This window comes from Homo sapiens, chromosome 10 (genome assembly GCF_000001405.40).
Source record: "Homo sapiens chromosome 10, GRCh38.p14 Primary Assembly".
NCBI lineage: Eukaryota > Metazoa > Chordata > Mammalia > Primates > Hominidae > Homo > Homo sapiens.
In genome coordinates, this window is record NC_000010.11 from 104,635,701 (window position 1) to 104,658,662 (window position 22,962).

Genomic DNA, 22,962 nt, shown 5'->3' on the forward strand with positions numbered 1-22,962 from the left:
GTTTCATAATCATTTGCCTCCTTAGAAATTCAGAGTTACAATGTAGACTGTTGTTTGATGTTAATCAATTAATTAATTTCCTATTTAGTTCTAAAAAGAATGTGAAGTGGCTTATCAAAAATACGCAGATATAGTAAGATCAAAGAGTATCAAACAATAAAAACAGCATTTAGTAAAAAGGGAGCAGAGGATAAAAATCTTGACTGAAGACCATTAGAACAAGTTAACTCGGTACTCAGCGTGATTATTGAGACAAGAGGAAGACAAAGTGAGAAGACAGAGCCAGTTAAAAGAGCCTTTAAGAAAGGATGTCAGTTTCACAGGAGAAATACACGTTTTAAGAGAAATTTGCTTTTAGGTCCTCATGTAAGAGGTGCTGAACATTTTATAAAATACGGAAATAGGGCTGGGCATGGTGGCTCACGCCTGTAATCCCAGCACTTTGGGAGGCCGAGGGGGTCGGATTATCTGAGATCAGGAGTTTGAGACCAGCCTGGCCAACATGGGGAAATCCCGCCTTTACTAAAAAAAAACAAAAAACAAAAAAACAAAAATTAGCTGGGCATAGTGGCGTGTGCCTGTAATCCCAGCTGCCTCAGGAGTCTGAGGCAGGAGAATCAATTGAACCTGGGAGGCAGAAGTTGCAGTAAGCCGAGATCGCACCACTGCACTCCAGCGTGGGCGACAGAGCAAGACTCCATCTCAAAAAAAAAAAAAAAAAAAAAAGAAAAAGAAAAGAAATCGGCATCATTTGAATGCTTCCCTATCTGTGCCTGCTGTGAGTGCTGATGGCAAAATATCTATTAGATTATTGAGGGTCTGGAAGGGTAAGGGTGTGTGTGTGTGTGTGTGTGTGTGTGTGTGTGTGTATGTGTCTGTGTGTATTTGTGATGTCAGGGAGAAGAAGCACAGTTTCCCAAAGTGTTATTTCACTGTGATGGTAAAAAACAAGAAACAAAAAACAAAACAAAACAAAAAACCGGAAAGAAGACTTATTTGGGTGACATTTAGTGTAATCTCATGGATAACTTACAGTATACAGTTTGCTTTCTCCAGTTGTTTTTAACAGGGACAGAAGCCCTGGTGAGAAAATGCATTCCCAGTGGGCATTTGTTGCCGACCCTATGGGGACTGTGTGAGAGCTAATCCTCACTCTCAACCTGCCTTTCCCAGCTGAAGTAGGTATTATGTCAGCAAGGGAAATGGAAGCCCCCTTTAACCTTTGTCCTTTCTTTTAAATTCCAAATTGATATGGGACAGCTCCTATCTTATAGGAAGACAAAGAATTTGATGATGATGACATGATGATGGTAATAATAATGATATAATAACAAGTACTATGAGGCTGTGGAGGCAAGCTCCATGGAAGAGGATTCTTCCATGAAGAAGGGTTCTTACCATGAAGCCCCTTCCATGTTGAATACTGTGGCAGAGGACACATTCCAGGCTTAAGGAATACAGTAAGAAAGTTCATGGAGGTGGGGCAAGTACATGGAGCTTTGGATACCATTCTAAGAAGTTTGGATTTTATAAAAATGGTAGGTCATTGAAAAATTTTGAGGAGGGCAATTCATGATATAATCTTCCTTATGTTTTAAGAGGCTATTTCTGTCAACAGTGTGGAGCTGTGTTGTTTAAAACAGTAGCCACTAGTCACATGTGGTTATGAAATGTGGTAGTGAAAAAATGTGGGTGGTCTGAACGGAAATGTGCTGTAAGTATAAAATACACACTGGATTTTGAAGACTTGGTACAAAAATATGTAAAAATACATCAATAATTTTTATGTTGATTACAAATTGAAACTATTTTTGGTATCTTCAGTTCAATAAAAATTAAAGTTAATTTCATTGGTTCCTTTTTATTTCAATAAAGCTACTAGAAAGTTTAAAATTTCCTGTGTGGCTTACATTACATTTCTATTTGAAGGTGCCAGTGTGGAGGCTGGCTAGGAGAAGGAAAGAACCGAAGACCAGGAGAAGAGAGGAAACTATTGCAAAACCTTAGGCAAGAGATGTTGAGGGTCAGATATAAGGCAGTGACTCTAGGAATGAACAGGAGAGGAGTGGTAAAAAAAAAAAAAAAGGCTTTTTAAAATAGGACGAGACAAGTTATGGGTGTGGGGATCCAAAAGAGGGAGTCAAGCTTGCAAGTCAAGTGTCTAGTCTAGGTGACTAAGAAGATGTTGGGGTGATGGTTTTAGGTTTTGCTGCATATGGGTTTCAAGGTGAACACATAACACGTATGAAGCAATGAGGAAGTCAGGTGTGAAGCTCAAGAGGGGATGTGGTGAAGTTGTAGATCCAGGAGTCAACACCAGGAAATGGTAGTAGAAGGACAGAAATGGGCCTGATCTCCGGGCTCATTCAGACAAGGAGAAAGGGAAAACAGAATGAGAGCCAAGCACGGAGAATTGGGGAAAATGATGGAGGCTGGGGCTCAGAATTTAAGATGTGGATAAAAGAGGACAAGCTTGACTGAGGCTGGCCAGGGAGGACCCAGAAGATCCTAGTACCATGTAGATCAAAGGAGACCTTTTCAGATGGGACAAGTTTACACATGCGGGAAGAAGAGGTTGTTGAGTGAGGCTGTCAGGCGTGTTGGGGTAGGCCTTTGACTGAGTCGCCTAAAAGCAGATGTCAAATTGCAAAAAGTCCAGGAGTGAGGAAGAGGATACTGTGGGTTCAGGTGAGAACTACTGGGAGAAGTTTGGGCACTAGAGAAGGCTAATGGGGACTCGGAAGCAGGGGGTTGGAGGCAGGGGGCTGGGGGTGGGGGCAGGGGCAGCTCAGGGCTGAGGGCAAGGATTTTCAGGCAAAGGGTGAAGGAGGGAGAGGCTGCAGGTGGAAGAAGACTGTAATTGATGGGAGCAAGGCCAAGAAAACGAACTGGTGCAGGAGGCATGTGAAAATGTCACACTTGCGGGAGTCTTTCCTTTTTTGTTTGTTTTCAAACAAAAGCTTTTAAGCTACATCTCCTCAAGCCCATCCCAAGGATCCAACTCTGCCCGGGTTCCATCTGGTAGGGCCTTCTTCAGACAGGAGAGACAGAAGGAGGCCCCTCTCAGAGCGTCTGCCTCTTTTGCACCCGACTGCTCCTGCTCAGAGGCCGCGGGAAGCTGCGGGGACTGGATGGTGCACCTCCCCAGTGCGCATAGGACTTGGGAGACCACACTCCTCCGGGCTGTGTGAGCCTCGGGTCCGCCCAGATCTCTTATACTGTGGCACCTCCGCCCAGAGCCTGAAGAGAAGAGCAGCACCGCGTCCCTCCCGAACCCCGAGCTTCGGCTCGGGCTGCAGCGCCGGGCCTCCTCCGGCAGGGGCGCTGGGAACTCGCGGATGGCCGGCTCTCGTCCAGCGCCCGATCCCGCGCCCACCTGGGCCTGCGGCGCTGGAACTTTTCTTAGGAATACCCGCTACTCCCTGTCTTTGGAAACCCACAGATGCCAGGACCCGCACCATTCTGGGCCGGACGTTGTCGCTGGCTTGGTTCTTTGGCCCAGCCTCCCCCGCTGCTAATTGCCATTTTGGCACCGGGTGGAAAGGCAAGTTCAAGAGGGCGGGGGCTCTCGGGAATCGCTGGATGTCTTCTTCCTTGGCCAGCTTAGATTCTCAGTCGCCTCTTCTGCCTCCTCCATCCCTCTTGGCTCTTACCTGGCGCCCTTTCGCCTCCTCTTCTATCTCCCTCTTCCTTTTGCACCATTCTCTCGCCCCTTTTCTCCTTCATCTTGTCTTTCCTCTCTCCCCTTTTCCCTCTATTTTCTCCTTCATTCCTTCCTCTCACCTTTCTTTCCTCTCCGCGCATTCCCCTCCCTCTCGCTCCACTTTAACCATCTTCTAGAGAGGAGGAACTCTATCTACTCCCGAAGGGGAGGAGCAGGGCTGGAGGCTGTCTCTCTCTCCCTAAGCCTCCTCCCTCCTGCCTCCTCCTTTCTTAATAGCTCCTCCTCTAGCTCCTCTAGTCTCAGACTTTTCAACCCCTAGAATCCCAGGGGCTTCTCGGAGGCGGCGAGCTACACCACATGTCCTGGGGCCTGTAAACCGCAGCTCGAGGTCGTCTGTGGGTTTAGCTCATTTCCCTTCAGCCCACCTGAAGTCTCCTTCTTCCTACGGTCACGAAGGATCTCAGCTGCACCAAGCGCGCAGGCTACACTCCTGCAGTAGCGGATTGGGGACCAGATAAGCCCACGCGGCTCCCGCCTGAGTACCCTCTTAACTGGCGGCCGACACTTTGAAACAATTGAGTCCGTTCAGAAACGGACTGGGGAGAGTGAGGGCACGACCTCAAAATCCTAGGCAGCAAAATGAGGTCTGGATCCTCCCTGGAAGAACAGACATCTCGACTACTCTCTCGCCCCACCTCTGGCCGGGAGGTCGGGGCAAGGAGAATCCCTCAACCGAGAAGATCTGGCAAGTCCCCGATCCCACCGGGGCCTTCCGCCTCTTTTCCCTCATCCCCTAGGAGGCTTTATCAGGTTCTAACCGCTTGTAGTGGGGGCCGTGGGTGCTCGGGGCGCCAAGAGGAGGGGGCTGCCGAGAGCGGCCTGCCTAGTTCTCAGCATTGCCTCTTTGACCACTCGCAGGCTCCTGGAAATGCAAACACAGCCCGTGCGTGATCCGCACGCGACCAAAAGCCGAGCGCACACCTCCCGCCCCCGCCCCACTTGCCATCGCTCACACTAACGTGCACACATGCTCGTGCAAACGCGCACGCACGGAACCGCGCGCCCCCTCACACCCAGCCGCGCTCCCGGCCCGGCTCAGCCAGGTGCCCCCACGCGGCAGCGCCCGGTCTGCCCGCCGGCCCCCTGCGAACCCCTCGCCTCACGCCCGCCTGCCTGCGCGCACGCACGCGCACGCACGCATTCCCCACGCCCCCGCGCGGGGGCGCAGGCCTTGGGTGGCGGGGTTTGGCCGGGAGCCGGCCGGGCCAGGGAGCGGCGAGCAGAGTCCAGGGTGCATCCCGCGCTTGGCTTCCGTGCGCAGCCTCCCCGCGCGGAGGCACCTGGCTCCCTCTCGGCTCTAGAACGCGAACAGTTGGCGTTGAGCACACAACTCCTCCTCCTTCTCCCCCGAGACCCCTGTACCCTCCCCGCGCGCCATCTCCCGCCCCTCATAACAGGCCCGAAGAGTAAACCCCCAAACGCGTCCAGAAGCGGCTCCCAACTCTTCGCCGGGAGCACGTTGGAGGCTGGATTTCGGAGAGACTCGGGATTGGGGTCTATTGCCGGCCCCTCCTGGATCCGGCTTGATTTTCATATTTTAAGAAGATTTTCTTATTACCTTTGATTACTCCTTTTTACCAAATTTCTGGAGGAGCTCAGTGGGGAGGATTGGGGGGAATCTGATTTTAAGAAAGAAAGCACCGAAGGGGCAATTATTAATTTTCCTCGGGTTTGGAATCACCCTCTGGACAAGAGAACGGGCGAGCGGGAGCTAGGAGGGAAGAGTGGAGAGGACCGGCGAGGCGCGCCAGCCGGAGCCACCTCCTTCCCGGCCGCCCCCTCCCCACTCCCCCTACACACACACGCTCGCTCGCTCGCCGGCGCGCGCACACCCCCCGCGCCGGACCCGCACCTCGGCGGGCGCCACACACTCGGCAGCCCGAGCCGCGGTAGCCGCAGCGGGATGGAGGCGGCGCGCACGGAGCGCCCCGCAGGCAGGCCGGGGGCGCCGCTTGTCCGGACGGGGCTCCTACTCTTGTCGACGTGGGTCCTGGCCGGCGCCGAGATCACTTGGGACGCGACAGGCGGTCCCGGACGCCCGGCGGCCCCGGCTTCGCGGCCACCGGCGTTGTCTCCACTCTCGCCGCGGGCAGTGGCCAGCCAGTGGCCGGAGGAGCTGGCGTCGGCGCGGAGAGCCGCCGTGCTGGGGCGCCGGGCCGGACCAGAGCTGCTGCCCCAGCAGGGCGGCGGCAGAGGCGGTGAGATGCAGGTGGAAGCCGGAGGGACATCACCGGCAGGCGAGCGGCGGGGCCGGGGCATCCCAGCTCCTGCCAAGCTTGGCGGCGCGAGGAGGAGTCGCCGGGCGCAGCCCCCAATCACCCAGGAACGCGGGGACGCCTGGGCCACTGCTCCGGCCGATGGTTCCAGAGGAAGCCGTCCCCTTGCTAAGGGTTCCCGGGAGGAGGTGAAGGCGCCGCGGGCTGGGGGGTCGGCGGCTGAAGACCTCCGGCTGCCCAGCACCTCCTTCGCGCTGACCGGGGACTCGGCCCACAACCAAGCCATGGTGCACTGGTCGGGACACAACAGCAGCGTGAGTACCCACCCGGCGGCGGGTCCGCCTGTTTCCTGACACCGAAGGGGAATGGGGGGGTGGGTGGGAGCGAGGGACAGATAGTTGCTCGGGGGTCGAGGCGGGGGACGCCTCGACTTTTCGAGATAACAGGTTTGTCCGATTCCCCCCACGCCCCCAACAGGTTAACGGAGTTTGTTGTTAGACGCTGTGTGTGTTTGTTTACTGGAGACCCTAGGCTTCGGCCGCCGGGAGGGGAGTGGAGGAAGGGGCTTCTTAAAGATGAGTGGGGGAGGGATCTGTGCTCACTTTCTCCAATACTTGGCTTGGAGGGTCAGTTTTCCTGTTTGCGGGGTGCTTGAATTCTTGGATGAGAAAAAGGGCTGACTTGGGGCGGGAGCCGCTGAACAGACCGATTCCTGCGGCTGCCGGGCTCCCCCTACCCCCACCCCACCCCCACCCCCCCTCCCGTCACGCGAAAGGGAACCCGGAAGGCCATTCGGACTCCCAGCCTCCTGCTCGCCTCGGGGTCGCTGCTATCCGCTCCAGGCGCGCAGTCCTCCAGCCCAAGAGGGAGGCTCGGCCAAGTCGGCCCCCAGCCTTGGCCTTCAGGTAACCCCGGTTCCTCCTTCAAAGTCCAGGGAGCGGCCCTGGAAAGCCGTAGCAGAGGCCGTAAAAAAAAGTTTAAAGCGTGAAGCGAAATTCCACACCCATCCAGCGCTCATGCCACACCGCTCGCCCTCACGCACGCACAGGCACACGGAAGTCGCTCAGCAGAAAACTCTCGACTTCACCATTGCGTCCTGCGCCACAAACGGCTCCCTGAGCGGAGTTGGGTGCCTGAGCTTCCTGCACACCTCTCCACCCGCTTTTCCCCGCCACCGGGTTCTCCTGGACAAGGATGTACCGAGAGGTGGCGTCGTTGAGCCCGGTCTGGCCTACTCCGGCATTCCGAACTGGGCGCCCGACTGAGCATCGCGCCTGCCTGGCAGCTGCAGCGGCCCGCAGCGCGTGCCCGGAGGGGCTCCCCCTACCTCGCCGGCACCCAGCGCTGTGCAGCCAAGCAAAGAAAAGGCGGGGGACAGGTTCCCACCATCTCCCCGACTTCCCTCCCTCCCGCGGTCCCTACTAGAGCCAGATTTGGAAAATCCTTTCCTCTTCTCTGGCTCCATGGTTCAGATCAGAACCTGGCGTTGGGTAGGGTGCACGCTCCAGGCGGAGGATGACGGGTGTCTGTACAAGCAGCCTTGGGGAACTGATTTGATAGGAACTCACCCCGCAACTCCCTGCCGTTTTGTATTTCTCTTCATGACCGGTGTTTGACAAAATTTCTCTGGGAAATTTTTGCCTTATTTTAACAGAGCCTGGGATGTCCAGGATTGGGTATCTAATAAGAGGAAAGCGAGGGGTCCGCAGAAGGTAGTACATAAGCAATACCAAAGTGCAGATTTCTTGGTTTCTAATGATGCACAGCGCGGGCAGCCCAGCCTGGGTAGCCCATGCTGGTCTTGAAGGACCAGTGAAGTCCAGCTTCGCAGCAGCGCGATGGCGGGCTTCATCTGCCTGGGATGAAGACCCCCGTAGCCTCGGGCTGACAGCTCTGGCGAGAGGGGTGGACAATGTGTGCCTTTGCAGGGCTGGGTGATTGAAGACTTCCAAGTCCCTTCCAAGAGGACTTGGATATGTGTGTGCTGGGGGGAGATTCTCTGACCTCAGGGTTGATTCTCTGACAGCAGGGGTTGTGAATCCCAACTTCATTTTAGTTTGATAATTAGGGTGTGTGTGTGTGTGTGTGTGTGTGTGTGTGTGTGTTGGGGTTCTTACTTGGTGAGGAGGATGGATGGATGGATAGGATGTGTGGAAGTAAATATATCCTAGGAAGAGGAGGATGCAATGTCTTTACATCTGTGGCTTCCCTACTGCCACATTAGGACAATATAAATTCACCCTCCCTGAAGAGTTTTTCTGTGTCTCTGCTTTTATTTTAAGGATTATTTTTGAGTATTTACAAAGCCTCTGAAGATGGGACTTTAGAGAAAATGCTTCCTGCAAATAGCAGTTAACTGTGCATGGCCTTCTTTGCTCATCTTCAAAGCAGTTGTGCAGCAGAAGAGGTGAGGGGCAGGTCTGGCCCGTGCTCCCTGGGGAAATGACTCTTCAGTCAAATGACGGCCAAAGGGGCTTGGGGACTGGAGCAGTTGGGCTTGGAGACCTTGGTGACAGCAATGAGATTGGACAATGTATGAACAGCCCACAGGGACTTATTGGTTGTGCTCTTGGCCAGCCTTACTGCCCATGCAAGAGCACCACAGGTGGATGTAGGGCCACGCACTGTCCTCTCTCTCCAATCTGGGGAATAACTGCCTCTTTAGCCCCTAGGCTGGACCTGTCTCTTCTGACCACATTTTGTAGGCAATACGAGAGAGAGATCCTTGATTATCAGGTCTGTGAGCCTGTGTAAAGAAGATGGAGAAGCATACTCACATGGCCCTGTCTTTGAGACTTTAAGGAAATCTCCTGGAGAGTCACTGGGAAACCAGTTTCAGCAACATTGACCCAGCTGGTTTTTCTCCTGTCCCCCTTTCCTGATGGCAGGAAAAGAAGGTGTTGTAAATAAAAGCCAGGGTGAAGAGTGATGGGGATGAGGACACTTTGGGAAGATTCCTTCATCATTGGTTTCAAAGTGGAGGGAGATGTCCGTAAAACAGAGAACATGGGGCCTAGCTCCAGGCTCTTATGACGTGGAAAGAGAATTTTATCTTTTATTCTGGCTTCTGGAGTATTAGACATGTCCTTATTCAGGAGGCCACCAGTTTAATTTTTAACACAATGAGGGTTTCCTTGCTCTTCTTCCAAGTGTCTCTGATGCACCTGATTGCTTGATATGAGTTCCCTTTTGGGGAGCGTTTTCAGTAACCCTATGAAATTGAAAATTGAACTCCATTCTGACTGAGTTTACAGTCAGGGATGCAGGGTGGGACATGAAGGAGAAGGGCCTTCAGCCCACCCCATTGGTCCAGTGTGTGCCCCAGGTGGTTGAGGGTGCAGGAGGAGACCCTTGACCAAGGCTTGGGCTGGGTATTTGCCTTGGTCCCAGGACTGAGAAGAGATGGCTTTGGGGACAAAGGAGAAGGAGTGCAACTGGCTTTGGGCAAAGGAATCAGGAGGGCATGGGATCTGGGTACCACCTCTTGACCATGTTGCCTGCCAGGTGCTCTGGCTGGAAAGTGAGTGGACTTGGCCTTGGACCCTTTACTCTGGAGGAGCGATTTGCTATTTTTTCTCTCCAGTTGCCTCCAGCTGGAATCCTGGTGATTAATGGGTTAGAGAGTGTTTCAAAAACACCCAGAGGGAGCCCAGTCCCCGTGGCTTACAGGGAAACAGAAAAACACATTATTCTGTCCTTTTCCTTCAAATGAAAGAAGAAGCCTCCCTGCTTGCTCAGTGAGTTGGCAAATGGCTCTGGAGAGTGGAAAGTTGTGAAGGCACAGTCCACTTCTCCACACCCCCTCCTTCTTGGATTAACCCTTCATGGGGCCCCCATTCCTGGTGCCAAGGTGAAAACACTGCATCTGCCCTCACATTGGTCTTCATTTCCTTCCAGCAGCGCACTCGAAGTGGCAGCGATTTGCAGGCTGCTGCCCCTGCAGTGTATCTGCTTGGAATACTTGCCAGGTAGTTCTCAATTAATGGGCCCAACACTGCATCTTGGTGAAGAGAAATGGGGAGATGCTGATATTTCTAGGCCCTCCCAGATCACCCTGCCCTGAGCGTACTAGTAGGTGTAACACAGATTCTCCCAGGCAGGATTTCCTACCCTTAACTAATTCAGCTGGACTGTGTTCTAAAATATTTACTCCTAATGTGCAAAATAGTGACAGATTTGATCAGATTAATTGTATTTCACTCACTGGATCATCTAATTGTGGCTCCCAAACAGATTTTTCAAATAGCTTTTGGCTGGATTGCTTGTCTTCATCCTCCCTGCTCACAGTTCCTGTGTCACAATATCTTAATGCATTCTGCCTTTTTGGAGGCTTAATAAAGAAGCTTGCCACAGAAGCCATTCTTCAGGGTTTTGCCAAAAAAATTGTTTTCAATTAGTATTACAAGGGGAAACCATCTCAGTTGAGATGTAGCTGGGAAATGCATGGGGACATAACGGTACTAATTGCTCCTGGTCATTGTTGGTCTGAGGGGCCGTAGGGAGAGGAGGAGCTGGGCACAGCCTATTTATCTGCTCAGTGATTTCTCTGATGGCTGGATTACAGGATGTGATTTCCTTCTCAGATCCTTCAGTGATTTCCAAGGTGAGCAGAAGTTGCAGATTCCTTAATTGGGAGGCCTGATTTAATGATTACAGAAATGCAGTGGCTGGAACTTGCTTTGTAGCTGGCAAAGAAGGAATGCCCGGGAGTGGCTTCTCCAGTGGTGTTGGATTTAAGGGAAAGGGAGGGTGACTTCAGTGGCAGGAAGGCTCAGTGGACAGAAGGGAAAATTGCTTTTTCTTTGGGCTGTGTAAATCTATTGTCAGTGAAGGAATCCTGGAACTGGATGATCTGTGGGCCCTGAATCATCTCATAAGGAGCAGAGAGGTGCAACAAAGCAGACACTCTGTGATAGAAAGATTTGGCTGGAGACTAGTGGTTTATCCAAGGCTAGGTATAGATTGGCTAAGTCACTTAAGGCCTGTGGCTTGACCTACCTGTTGATTTCCCGCTTTCTGCCTTCTTTTGGCCTCTTGGCTGGTTTGAGACACTTCCCTTACAGGGAGAAAATGTCAAAGGAGGATTCTGCAGTAAGTTTGAAGGAGAAAAGAGGCCTTGTGGAGGAGGAGGTGGGAGATATAGAATGTGAGTGCCTAGTGGGTCACTAGGCAGTTCTGGTAAGCAGAACTGGCTCTGTGGGATGGATCGAATTTGGCTAACCAAGTTTATTCTCCTGGTGTTGTGGGTAACTGAGAAAAGGCTCTGGATAGGGCTCTGACTTTGTTGGTAGTCAGTGGAGATGAGGGAGCTTTGCCTTACACATGGTTGGCACTTGATAATGTTTGACTGAGTGAATGAAAGACAGTCTCAAGTCTCATCAAGCAGAGGCTATAAAGGAATTAGAAATTGTTGTTGCCTGGGATAGCAATGATTTCAGAACTTGACAGCTACCATAGCCAGGAGTGTTTCATCCAGTGTGTCTACATTCTGGCTTGAGGAACTTCGGTTTCTTAAATTCAGATCCAGAGTCCATTAGCCTGGCATTCAAGGCTATGTATGTCCCGGGTCTACTTCTCCAACTTTGGATTTGACTCTTCCCTGATTGACTCCTGCATTCTGGCCAGGGCAGCGTCTTCATTGTCCCAAGCATCTTGAGGTCTGTTCCACTTGGGGTACCCTTCTTTCTTGATGAAAGGGCACCTGTTATTCATAGCTCAGTTCAACATTCAGACTCAGTGGCTCTGTGAAACTTTCCTTAGAAGCATTTATTTCTCTTTTCCCCTACTTGTTTATAGAATTTGCAGAGTGCACCACACATTTTGTCATATTTAGTTTAGTACTTACTTTAGTCTTATATTATTTGGTGAGTGATTTGAGGGTAAGAGCTGAAATAATTAAAACAGCACCCCTTCCCTCCAATCACCATCAAGTGCGAGTTCTGTTCTTCTCATCCGTGCCTGGCAGCATGTGCCGTAGGGTAGTACATAGCTCAGTAATACTGAACTCACCTGGGGAGTTGGACTGTGCCTTAGCTGCAGGGTAAGAGGAGAGGAAAGAAGATCATTTTGCCCTAAGATAACTAACAGGTTAACACTGTCTCTTAATAACACTGAGTTTAGACAACTGGTGTATTATTTCATGTATGAATGTTAACATAAGATTCAGAGGGGTCTCTACACTACTTAGTAAGAGGATAGAAATAAGGACTAGTTAACAATCCTGGCTTCTCATGGACTTCAGAGATCAGATGGACACCCCCATAAGACATTCATCCATTTTCTGAGTGTTTCCTGTGTATGTGGCATTGTCCTAGAAACTGTGGGGTTGGTAGAAGTGTGATAGAGAGGAGACAAAGAAGGATAAGACAGCATTTGCCTCATGGTCCTGCCGACATGCTTTGGATGTGAGACTGCTCTTCTGTAAAGTTAAATAACACATGACAACAAGACAGATGCCATGGGGTGATATGTGGTTAATTGTCAAGTGATCGTTTCAGGCTATGAGCTCGCAGAAGAGAGGATCCCTGTGGGACATACTACAGGAATTTGAGACTTGCAGAATGTCAAGACTGGAAGTGCACTTGGGAATTGTCTTCATCAAATCACTCATGATAGAGATGAGGATATGAGGCTCAGACAGAAACATGGCAGCCTGCCTTGGACCCTGCTTATTTTTTTTTCTCTTGGAAGAGCCATCCCCTCTTCACACCCATTTTTCTCCTTTCTTCTCAGGTTAACAGAGCATTTTCCTTCTAAGAGGATTTGTGTGTTTTCACTCTGATGAGGTGCCCATTTTATAGGTAGGATAGATTGAGGCCCCAGGATGGGTATCGTATGAGGCTAGTTAGAGAGATTTAGGAATAGATTCTTTCCTTCTGTTCTGGGGCCATACTCTATAGTCAACCTGCCCACCCACCGCGGTGGCTGCAGACAATGAATAACAAGCTAGTTAATGTTGGACAAGCTGTATCTTACTAACCATTGTTAATGGGGGCCTCTTGTGAGTCACTTTGTAATTTGAGTTAGTGAGTGAATCAAGCCTGGTTACATCACAACCAGGAATATTTTGCTCATTTATTTTGATCAGTGTAGTTTGGATTTAATTATTTATAGAAATACTGTTGTTTATAGTACACTAATAAATGTTCTATAGTAAATTTGGAAAAAATAATGGAGTCTAAGAACCTCAGGATTGCACAGATTGTTTTCTGCTATTGAGTGCATGCAGGGAATCAGAGGAAGCCATCCCTGCTTGGTTGAGATGAGAGGGACCTGCAGCAGAGTGGGGCCAGCAGGGTTCTTGGTCAGTAAAACTGTGCCCTTGGCTAAGTAGGGGACTGTTACTTGGCATGCACTGGAAAGAGAAAAAACCTTCTTTAGGGGAAAAACTGGAAATAAAGCTATGTAGGATAATCAAGGATTATATTGGGTTGTGGGATTATTTAGTATGGGTATATGGTACAACTTGTGTGAATTCATATTTGTGGAGAGATTTCATCATGAATGCAATCCTCTTCTGGATTTGTTGAGAACAGATAGACTGGGAACCTGAAACAGGCCACATACTAAATAAGATCAATGGATTTTGCAGCCAGGTGCCTGGGTTCAAGTCCTGCCTCTGTTTCTTAATAGCTGTGTGACATTGGGCAAGTTGTTACCCTCTCTGCTGTTTCTTCATCTGAAAAAAGGGAGTGATGATATAGTATCTCTACCTTGGGCTGTTGTAAGAATTAAGTGAGACTGTACAGGGCAGAGTGCTTAAAAGAAGTGCCTGACCCATTTGTAGCAAGCACTCAAGATACTTTAGTTTAGTTGTTATTTTTATATCTGGAAGGGGCCTTCCCTTAATTTTCAGATGGAAATGTTGAAGCAGAGGAAGGAGGCACTTGCTCAAGGTTTCCCAGTGAGCTGATGGCAAGGCCTTGGCTAGAACCCAGTTCTCATCAAGATGCTCATTTCAACCACCTCCCATAGTTCATGTCCCCAGTCAATGAGTCTTTGCCATGTCTATCTTTTATGTCGTGCTAAAGTAGACATTGAAAAGGATCTAGAAGTGAATGACTGGGGACCTGTATTCTTGAAATTCATACTCAGAATTTGTAGTAGAAACAGAATAATATTCATTAGATGATTACACTAATAAGCTATGAATAAATTTAACATTATTTCGGGGCTTTTATTGCATGGAGAGTTAAGGGATCCAGAAAGATGAAGAGTAGCTTCTCTCAGAATTGGCATCCATGATACAACTCACAGCTAATCAAGGGAGACTTCTTGAGGGAAGTGAGTAAAGTGTGTAGCTACTAGAACATTGGAGAACACTGGGTTGCTGGGGCTGGTTGACAAGCAGATCCCATTGTGCCAAAGACTCATGTATGCCAAAGTCATGGGCTAGACCTCAATGTTACATTTTTCCTTTCCTCTTCTGTATTTGTGCCTGTTGTGAAATGGGCATATCACATGGATTGGAGCTATCTGTAGAATATCTGCAGCCTGTTCCCCAGAATTATCACACTGGTACAATCCACTACTTTGTGGTGATCTATACCCATAGAGTTGTAGGCTTGAGTTCCCTTTTTGCCTTCACCCTGTGTACCAAGAGTGGAACCTGAGAGCCCTACATAGACACTAGAGGGAGTGTTGCCCTGGGAAAGAAGTGAAAATAAATAGGATGAAATAACAAGACAATGCTGTACCAGGAATTGTTCCGAAGGAGGGAAGATGAAAAGTAGACTGTAAGTGAATTGTGTAGGGGTTGTATGATGATCCATAGATGAATAATCATTTGGCAGCAGGACAGTTTTCAATCCTGGGGGGGGCTGATCATTCAGCCTCTTCCTACAGAAAAAAGGGGAATAGATACAAACACGTTCATTCAGCAGTTAGATACTCAGACCATTAATGACCAAACTAACACTCTACAAATAGATTCAGCTGGAAGTGATGCTTAGGCTAGGTTCTCCCATTGCTTCTGTATTTCCTTCCTTTTTGCTTCCTTGCTCTCTTGTATCTGGTGGTTAAGTCAATAGGTGCTTATTGAGTTGAACAGAATAAATACTTGCTTAAATACTTAAAAGTGCCTGGGTAAAGAACAAGTGTCTTGGGGATGGAGTAGTGTCTGGCCTGCTGTTGCTGGCCTGGGATCTGCACTCTGGGACATTGCGGCTGTCTCTCACAGGCTCTCAGGTCCCACGTGCCTGACATCCTCCCAGAAGCCTTTTTGACATCTATGGTGAGGTAGGCAGTTTCTCATTCAGATGGTTAGAATCAGGTTACAGATTACACTGCTGCATAAGAAATAAACTTTTTCTTTTAAAAATCTGTTCTCAGTGGGAGATGAAGAACAATGACTGAGTTGAACATTTTCAAGACTAGAAAAATAGCTCAAGCTGCCATATCTGAATGTGATTACACATAGTGGGGGAACTTGTCTACAATAAGAGTTCTGAGACAATGAAGCTGGTGACACAGATAAACTTGTTTTCCAGAGTGGTGGTGGAAGAGGAGGGTATCCTTAGTGGTGAAAGAGTTGCTTATCTCACTGTGTTGCTTTCAGTGTTATTCATGCTTGAAAGCAAACTTTTGTTTGAAAGATTTCTCAAAACTCTAAAGCGTCTTTTCTGTCATGAGAAGGTCCCTAAGCCACAGCAATCTTGAACAAGTCTCTAAGCCTTAGTTTCACTGGCTGTAAAATGATGATAATACTGGAATTGCAGGATTGTTGTGAATCTTAGAGATGATGCCTATAAAGGGCCTAGCATAATAGGCTATTTTAACATAAGAATGTTAATTTTTGTAATTCCAGTACTTTGGGAGGCTGAGGCGGGCAGATCACTTGAGGTCAGGAGTTCGAGACCAGCCTGGCCAACATAGTGAAACCTCCGGGCTCTACTAAAAAAAAAAAAAAAAAAAAACACAAAAATTAGCTGGTGGCACATGCCTTTAATCCCAGCTACACGGGAGGCTGAGGCTGGAGAATCTCTTGAACGCAGGAGGCAGGGGTTGCAGTGAGCCAAGATGGTGCCACTGCATTCCCCAGCCTGGGTGACAGAGTGAGACTCCGTCTCAAAAAAAAAAAGAATGTTAATTCTCATTTGGAGATCTGTTGGTACTCTACCCGTATTCCCGGGGTGTTCCTTTGCTCTGCATGCTGGCCTGATTTCCAACCACCAGCACCAGGGACCAGCTTTCCCTGATCACTGTAGCTTGCTTTGATCACACAAGGTACAGGCTGGAAGAGTCAAGGAGTTAATGCCTGTGAGGGAGCAGAGAGCAGCCACTACCAATGACTGGTAGGAGTTGATGGATAAATATCTAGCCCCCTTGACTACTGGGGTTGGCTAACTCTGAGACATGTTTCTTTCATGGTTTCCCAGAGCTCCCTGTGGGATTAAACCCCAGTTTTAAATATATTTTAAATGTGTGTGTGTGTGTGTGTGTGTGTGTGTGTGTGTTTTAAATGGGTGCATTATTAGTAAGGAGAGAGCCTGCAAGTATGATTTAAAAAAATGGAAAATGCTTCTTTCAAGCATGCCTAGATTTGGTCTTACTTCAAGCAGATATATTTTCATTCATTCTTTCGCTCATTCATTCAATAATTTGTTTGCTTAGTATGATGCCAGTTAAGTTATTTGAATTTTCTGGGATTCAGTTTCGTCACCTATAAAATGAAAAAGTTGCAAAAATTGGTGCAGCCCATCTCACCACAAAGTAGATGTGATATTAGGTCAGTCATTTCTTGATGGGTAAAATGGGCACAATCCTGTTTACTCCCTTTATGTCACAGTTAAAAAATGAGATGGTGCACATGGAAGCATTTTGAAAAGAATAGGGGGTGATATGAACTCAAGTTGTTAGTTTACCTCACCTCTCCTTCATTCCTTAAGGAGCTAGAGACCCTTTGACAACAGATTTGAGACCAGATGCAGCTCTTGCCTTCTTCTGCCTTCTCTCAGTACAAATGAACACTTCCATTAACACGCATACCATGGTAGTAAAAACCCCAAGATTCTTATTCCAGGCGTGTTGTACAATTTTTTTCAAGTCACGTCTGATAATAATAAAATTCTCAGATGGGAGTGTAATTTGGATGTTTTAACAAAACATTTGCCCCAGGTTGTGACCTGTATTGATTGCTCTGCCTTACTCTTTTCAGATCATGTGAAGTGTTTCAGAGCACCTAGTATATGCCTAGTGAGGCAGCATGTGCAAAAAAATCTATGTGATGCAGACTGGACACCCAAGAAAACTTACAATTTTGTGTGTGGTAAACATATGTTGGACAGATATTGCAGAGAACAGTGTGAGATAGCATAAGACATGTGCTAATTGGAGCATGCTTAGGAAATAACTTGAACATAATCAAGACCACAGTGAATGAAAATTAATGAAATTATTAAAAAATTCTGGTTGTTTTTATTATCTGCAACAAAATCTACTAGCACAATAAGAAATAGATGCTATCACCAAACCTGGGTCACTTGACAAGGAGTGTCCTGAGCTTTGAGGTCAAATAGATTACCTGTTGTTCTGACAATTGTTCAGAATTCTGCCATGTCAGTGTGGTGTATAAATTGCTTACAGAGAACTCTGTTTTACCGTGTGTTTCTACTTGTTTTATTTTCTTTATAGGAAGATAAAGAATATGCTATTTCACCATAGTACTATGATATTCCAACTTTTTAGTTGTATTATTATTAGATATTCTAATTTGTACTGATTTCTTTCTTTCTAGGCCTGTTTCCCTTCTGTCATCTTGAGATTTCTATTTATTTTACTCTTGGATTAGTGCCTCTGTTTTTTGGATCCCATTCCTCTGTTGTGGGCTGCTTTTCATTTTTCTGTGGCATATCCTCAAGTAATCTTTTTCAGAGAATGCATGGGAATGTCTTGGTTTATACCTCTTGTCCTGATAGAATATGAATAGATGTATTTTGACTCTCAAAAGATCCAGGCTTAGATGATGAATCATATGGTCACCCAGTGCTTGGGAGATATTAATGCTTTAAAAATTTTTAATTTAAAAAATTGTTTGTGGGTACATAGTAGGCGTATATATTTATGCGATACGTGAGATGTTTTGGTACAGATATGCATTGCATAATAATCACATCATGGAAGATGGGATATCTATCCATTCAAGCAGTTATCATTTGTGTTACAAATAATCCAGATTATACTCTTTTAGTTATTTTAAAATGTACAATTAAAATTATTATTGACTCTAGTCACCCTTTTGTGCTATCAAATACTTGGCCTTATTCATTCATTTTATTTTTTGTACCCATTAATAATCCCCACCTCCCCCTCTCCCCCACTACCCTTCCTGCCTCTGGTAATCATTCTTCTACTCTATGCGCATGGGTTCAGTTGTTTTCATTTTTAGACGCCACAAATAAGTGAGAATATGCCATGTGTGTCTTTTGGTGCCTGGCTTATTTCACTTAACATAATGACCTCTACTTCCATCCATGTTTTTGCAAATGACTGAATCTCATTCGTTTTTATGGCTGAATAATACTCCATTGTGTATATGTACCACGTTTTCTTTATCCATTCATCTGTTGATGGACAGTCAGGTTGCTTCCAAATCTTGGCTATTGTGAATAGTGCTGCAGCAAACATGGGAGTGCAGATATCTCTTTGATATATTGATTTCCTTTCTTTTGAGTATATAACCAGCAGCGGGATTGCTGGATTGTATGATACCTCTATTTTTAGTTTTTTGAGAAACCTCCAAACTGTTCTCCATAGTAGTTGCACTAATTTACATTCCCACCAACAGTGTACAAGGGTTCCCTTTTCTCCATGTCCTCACCAGCATTTGTTATTGCCTGTCTTTTGGATATAAGCCATTTTAACTGGGGTGAGATGATATGTTATTGTAGTTTTGATGTGCATTTCTCTGATGATCAGGAGATCCACTTTTAAAAAAGATTCTTGGCATGTCTAAAATTTTGTTTTGCTCTCACATTGGCTTGGTGGTTCCTCTGGACATAGAAATCTAGGGTCAAAAAAGTTTTTCTTGGATTTGGGAAGTACTTAGGTTACTTGATGCTTTTGTATCATGTGCTATTTGGCATTATATGTGTCTCCCCTTCTACTCATGGACTGATGAAGGTGGGAAAAGGAGGTACATAACATAAGATACCTCTGACTTTGTTCAAATTAGTGATGTGCAACCCTTGAGGAAGCCTGATGCATTAAAACTGGATTTACACAAAATCGGTAGTATAAGGTGGGGGATTAAACACTCTGCAGAGCCATTTGCTATTTACACTCATTATCCAAATACCTTCAATGTAAAACTCAACCAAAAGAAGTAGTTTTAGGCAGGTTGCATTGGCTCATGCCTGTAATCCCAGCAGTTTGGGAGACCAAGGCAGACAGATTACCTGAGGTCGGGAGTTTGAGACCAGCCTGGCCAACATGGTGAAACCTTGTCTCTAGTAAAAATTCAAAAATTAGCCAGGTGTGGTGGCACACACCTGTAGTCCCAGCTACTTGGGAGGCTGAGGCAGGAGAATCACTTGAACCGGGGAGGCGGAGGTTGCAGTGAGCAGAGATCACATCACTGCACTCCAGCTTGGGTAACAGAGCTCCGTCTCAAAAAAAAAAAAAAAGGAGTAGTTTTATTTATTTAATTTTAGCTTCGGGGGTACATGTGAAGGTTTGTTATGTAGGTAAACTCATTTCATGGGGGCTTGTTGTACAGATTATTTTGTCATGCAGGTATTTAAGCCTAGTACTCAATAGTTATTTTTTCTGCTCCTGCAGAAAAAATAGCCAGCATTGTCTGTTGTTCCTTCCTTTGTGTTCATGAGTTCTCATCATTTAGCTCCCACTTGTAAGTGAGAACATGTGGTATTTGGTTTCTTTTTCTTTAAAAAAATTTAAAATCATTTTTAAAAACCACAGCAATAGCCAATTAATATGGTTTGGAACTGTGTTCTTGCCCAAATCTCATGTTAAATTGTAATCCCCATTGTTGGAGGTGGGGCTTGGTGGGAGGTGATTGGATCATGGAGACAGATTTCTCATGAATGGTTTAGCACCATCCTCTTGGTACTGTCCTTGTGACAGTGAGTGAGTTCTCATAAGATCTGGTTGGTTAAAAGTGTGCAGTGCCTCCTGCCCCCACTCCGCCTTGCTCCTGCTTCTTCCGTGTAAGACATCTGCTCCCCCTTTGCCTTCTGCCATGATTGGAAGTTTCCTGAGGTCTCCCCAGAAGCAGAAGCGAATGTGTTTCCTGTACAGCCTGCAGAACCATGAGCCAATTAAACTTCTTTTATTAAATATAAAATACACAGTCCTAGATGTTTCTTTATAGCAATGTGAGAATGGACTAACACATCAATATTCAATACATATTTGTGGAGTCCCCTCTATGTGCCAGGTGCTGCTGGATTCTGAGTCTGTAATAGTGAGCAGTGCTCTGATTGAGAGGTACATGACAACACTAGGGACATTTAACTTAGGAAGGGCAGAGAGGGAGATGCAGATGAGTGGAGATTGCAAAGATGTGCAGGGTGGATTAGGTGCAGAGGTGAGGGCATAGTGTTCTGGGCATATGGCTTCTGTGGCAGGGAGGAGCAAGGTATTTGAAGGGGAAAGGAAGGACAGTGTGGCTGGAGCAGAGGGGCTGGGGGATGGTGAGAGATGAGATGAAGCTAGACAGGCAGGCATGGGCAGGACTAAGCAAGGGTTTAGTTCTTTATCCCAACAGCAAAGGGGTGGCCTGGCCTGGTGGCTTATGCGTGCAATTCTAGCACTTTGGGAGGCTGAGGAAGGGAGATCCCCTGAGCCCAGGAGTTTGAGAGGCAACATGGAGAAACTCTGTCTCTGCAAAAAATACACACACAAACAAAATTAGCTGGGCATGGTGGAATGCACTTGTGGTCCCAGCTACTCAGGTGGCTGAGGCTGAGGTGGGAGGATCACTTGAGCCCAGGAGGTTGAGGCTGCAGTGAGCTGTGATCATGCCACTGCACTCTAACCTGGATGACAGAGTGAGACCTTGTTAAAAAAAAACAAAAAGAAAAAGAAAAAAAGTAAAGAGGTGAGCCATGAAAAGGTTTATAGTAGGAGAGTGATAAAATGATAAAATTAAATGTACATTAAAAAATCACTCTGATCACCCTGTGGGTTAGAGGGAAAAAAGGATGAATGCTAAGAGGATGTAGCTGGAGAGGTTGATGGCTTGGATGGTGGTAGTGGGGGTAGATAAGAAGGAGTCCACTGAAGAAATATTTGGCAGATGTAGTTGATTGTGTCATTAGCTCCAATTGTTCACTTCTCTTTATAACTCCCTTTGTATGGGACCTTTGCAGTGCCCTCTCTCTGAATGGGACCTTCTTCCCCATCTTCTAACTTTTGGTTTGGCCTTGTGACTTGCTTTGGCCAATAGAGAGTTGGAAGTGATAGTGTGCCAGTTCTAAGCTCAGTTATCAAGAAGCATGTGTGTTTCTACCTGTTTTTTTGTGCCTTTGGGGTGGCCATGAGAAAAACATAGCCTATTGGTCTCAGGAGGAGGATGAGAGACAACTAGTACATAGCCATTCCCAGCCAAGCCCACGCTAGATCAGCCCAGCCCAGTCCAGCTAGAACCACGTAGCTGAGCCCAGTTATGATCAGCCAACCCCAAGCTGCCCTGAATATTTCTGAGAATAAAGTGATTGATTGTTGTGAGAATAAGTGATTGAGATTTAGGTGGTTTATTTTGCAGCGTTTTTGCAGCAGGTAAAATCAATAGAACTTGAGAGATTGGATGTAGCAAATGTGTGGGAACATAATTACGGTATAAAGTGAGGCTCACCTGTATTTCGAGATCATTAGCCTGCTACATACATGCTCAGGGATGGACTTAGGAGTGTTTTTTTCGTGGTTGCCTGCCCCTTGCCTCTCTTTACAATTCATGGTTTCTTTTTCTGGAGCTGAATGCGGTAGGCCAGATTTATAGTCCAAAAGAATTAATTGTCTACTCTTTTTCCTTCTCACTCTCCTTCTGGCAGGCTAATCAGATTCCAGCAGAGCCTGAGAGCTGAGTAATCCTCAGTTCCCTCAATAGGGGCCTTCAGACTCTAACATTTAGTGTATTCTTGTTGGAGTTGAAATCAATTTTAGCTCTGACTGTGAAGATAGAATTTCACTTGAAGGGGTGAGAAATACAGGGCCAGGGATTTTCTTGGTTTTGACTGATTATTTAAAATATATTAGTTCCGATAAAATATTTAGCTTTTAAACAACAAATTTAATATAGGGAATTGTACTTTATTTGTTAATGGAAGTTGCAGGGAGATTGGTAGGAGTTGTGCTAAAGTGCACTGTTGTGATTTTGCAAAGTATAGTAATTACTGTAATATTTTGTTGAATTATTAATATCTACTATGCCTACAGGAACATAAGCTTTGCAGCTGAATTCATTTTAAAATTGCCTTTCTCCCTTCTGGTTTTGTTTTGTGTTTTCTTTCTTGTGCACTTACTAATTTTTAAAGAAATGGGGTAGGGCAGTGTTAATTATATTGTATGAAACACTGTTGTCACATGCTAACTGAATATATGCTTCTTCCAAACCGGTTTGCAGTGGCAGATTGAGGGATGCTGAAAGAATCATGTCTGGGGAGAAAGGGCTCATCCATGTGTTTTTTTCAGGAGCTGAGATGAGGAGAGAAAAATAGCAGAGAGGTCACATGTATGCACATGAGTATTATGTCTGCATGCTTCTAAGCAGAGCTGGTCCTACCTGTAGATGAAATTGGTAGGTGTTTAGGCATGTGTGATGAAACAGCACAAGTCTCCTTTTTTATTTTGAGATGGAGTTCACTCTTGTTGCTCAGGCTGGAGTATGCAATGGCATGATCTTGGCTCACTTGGCTCAGTTTGTATTTGTATTTTTAGTGTAGGCAACAGTTCATTATGTTGGCCATGGTGGTCTCGAACTCCTGACTTCAGGTGATCCACCCACCTTGGCCTCCCAAAGTGGTGGGATTACAGGTGTGAGCCACAGCACCTGGCCTCAAGTCC

The 22,962-nt window shown here is 46.8% G+C and overlaps 1 protein-coding gene across 1 annotated transcript in view; it reads left to right on the forward strand.

Moving 5' to 3' along the window:
• Positions 1-5,589: 5,589 nt before the first annotated feature.
• The window catches only part of SORCS3 (sortilin related VPS10 domain containing receptor 3), a 623,953-nt gene continuing 606,580 nt past the window's right edge, over positions 5,590-22,962 (forward strand). The window contains exon 1 of the mRNA NM_014978.3: positions 5,590-6,254. Coding sequence (NP_055793.1) covers positions 5,628-6,254 — 627 coding nt within the window. The 5' untranslated portion in view covers positions 5,590-5,627. The remainder of the gene's footprint in view (positions 6,255-22,962) is intronic.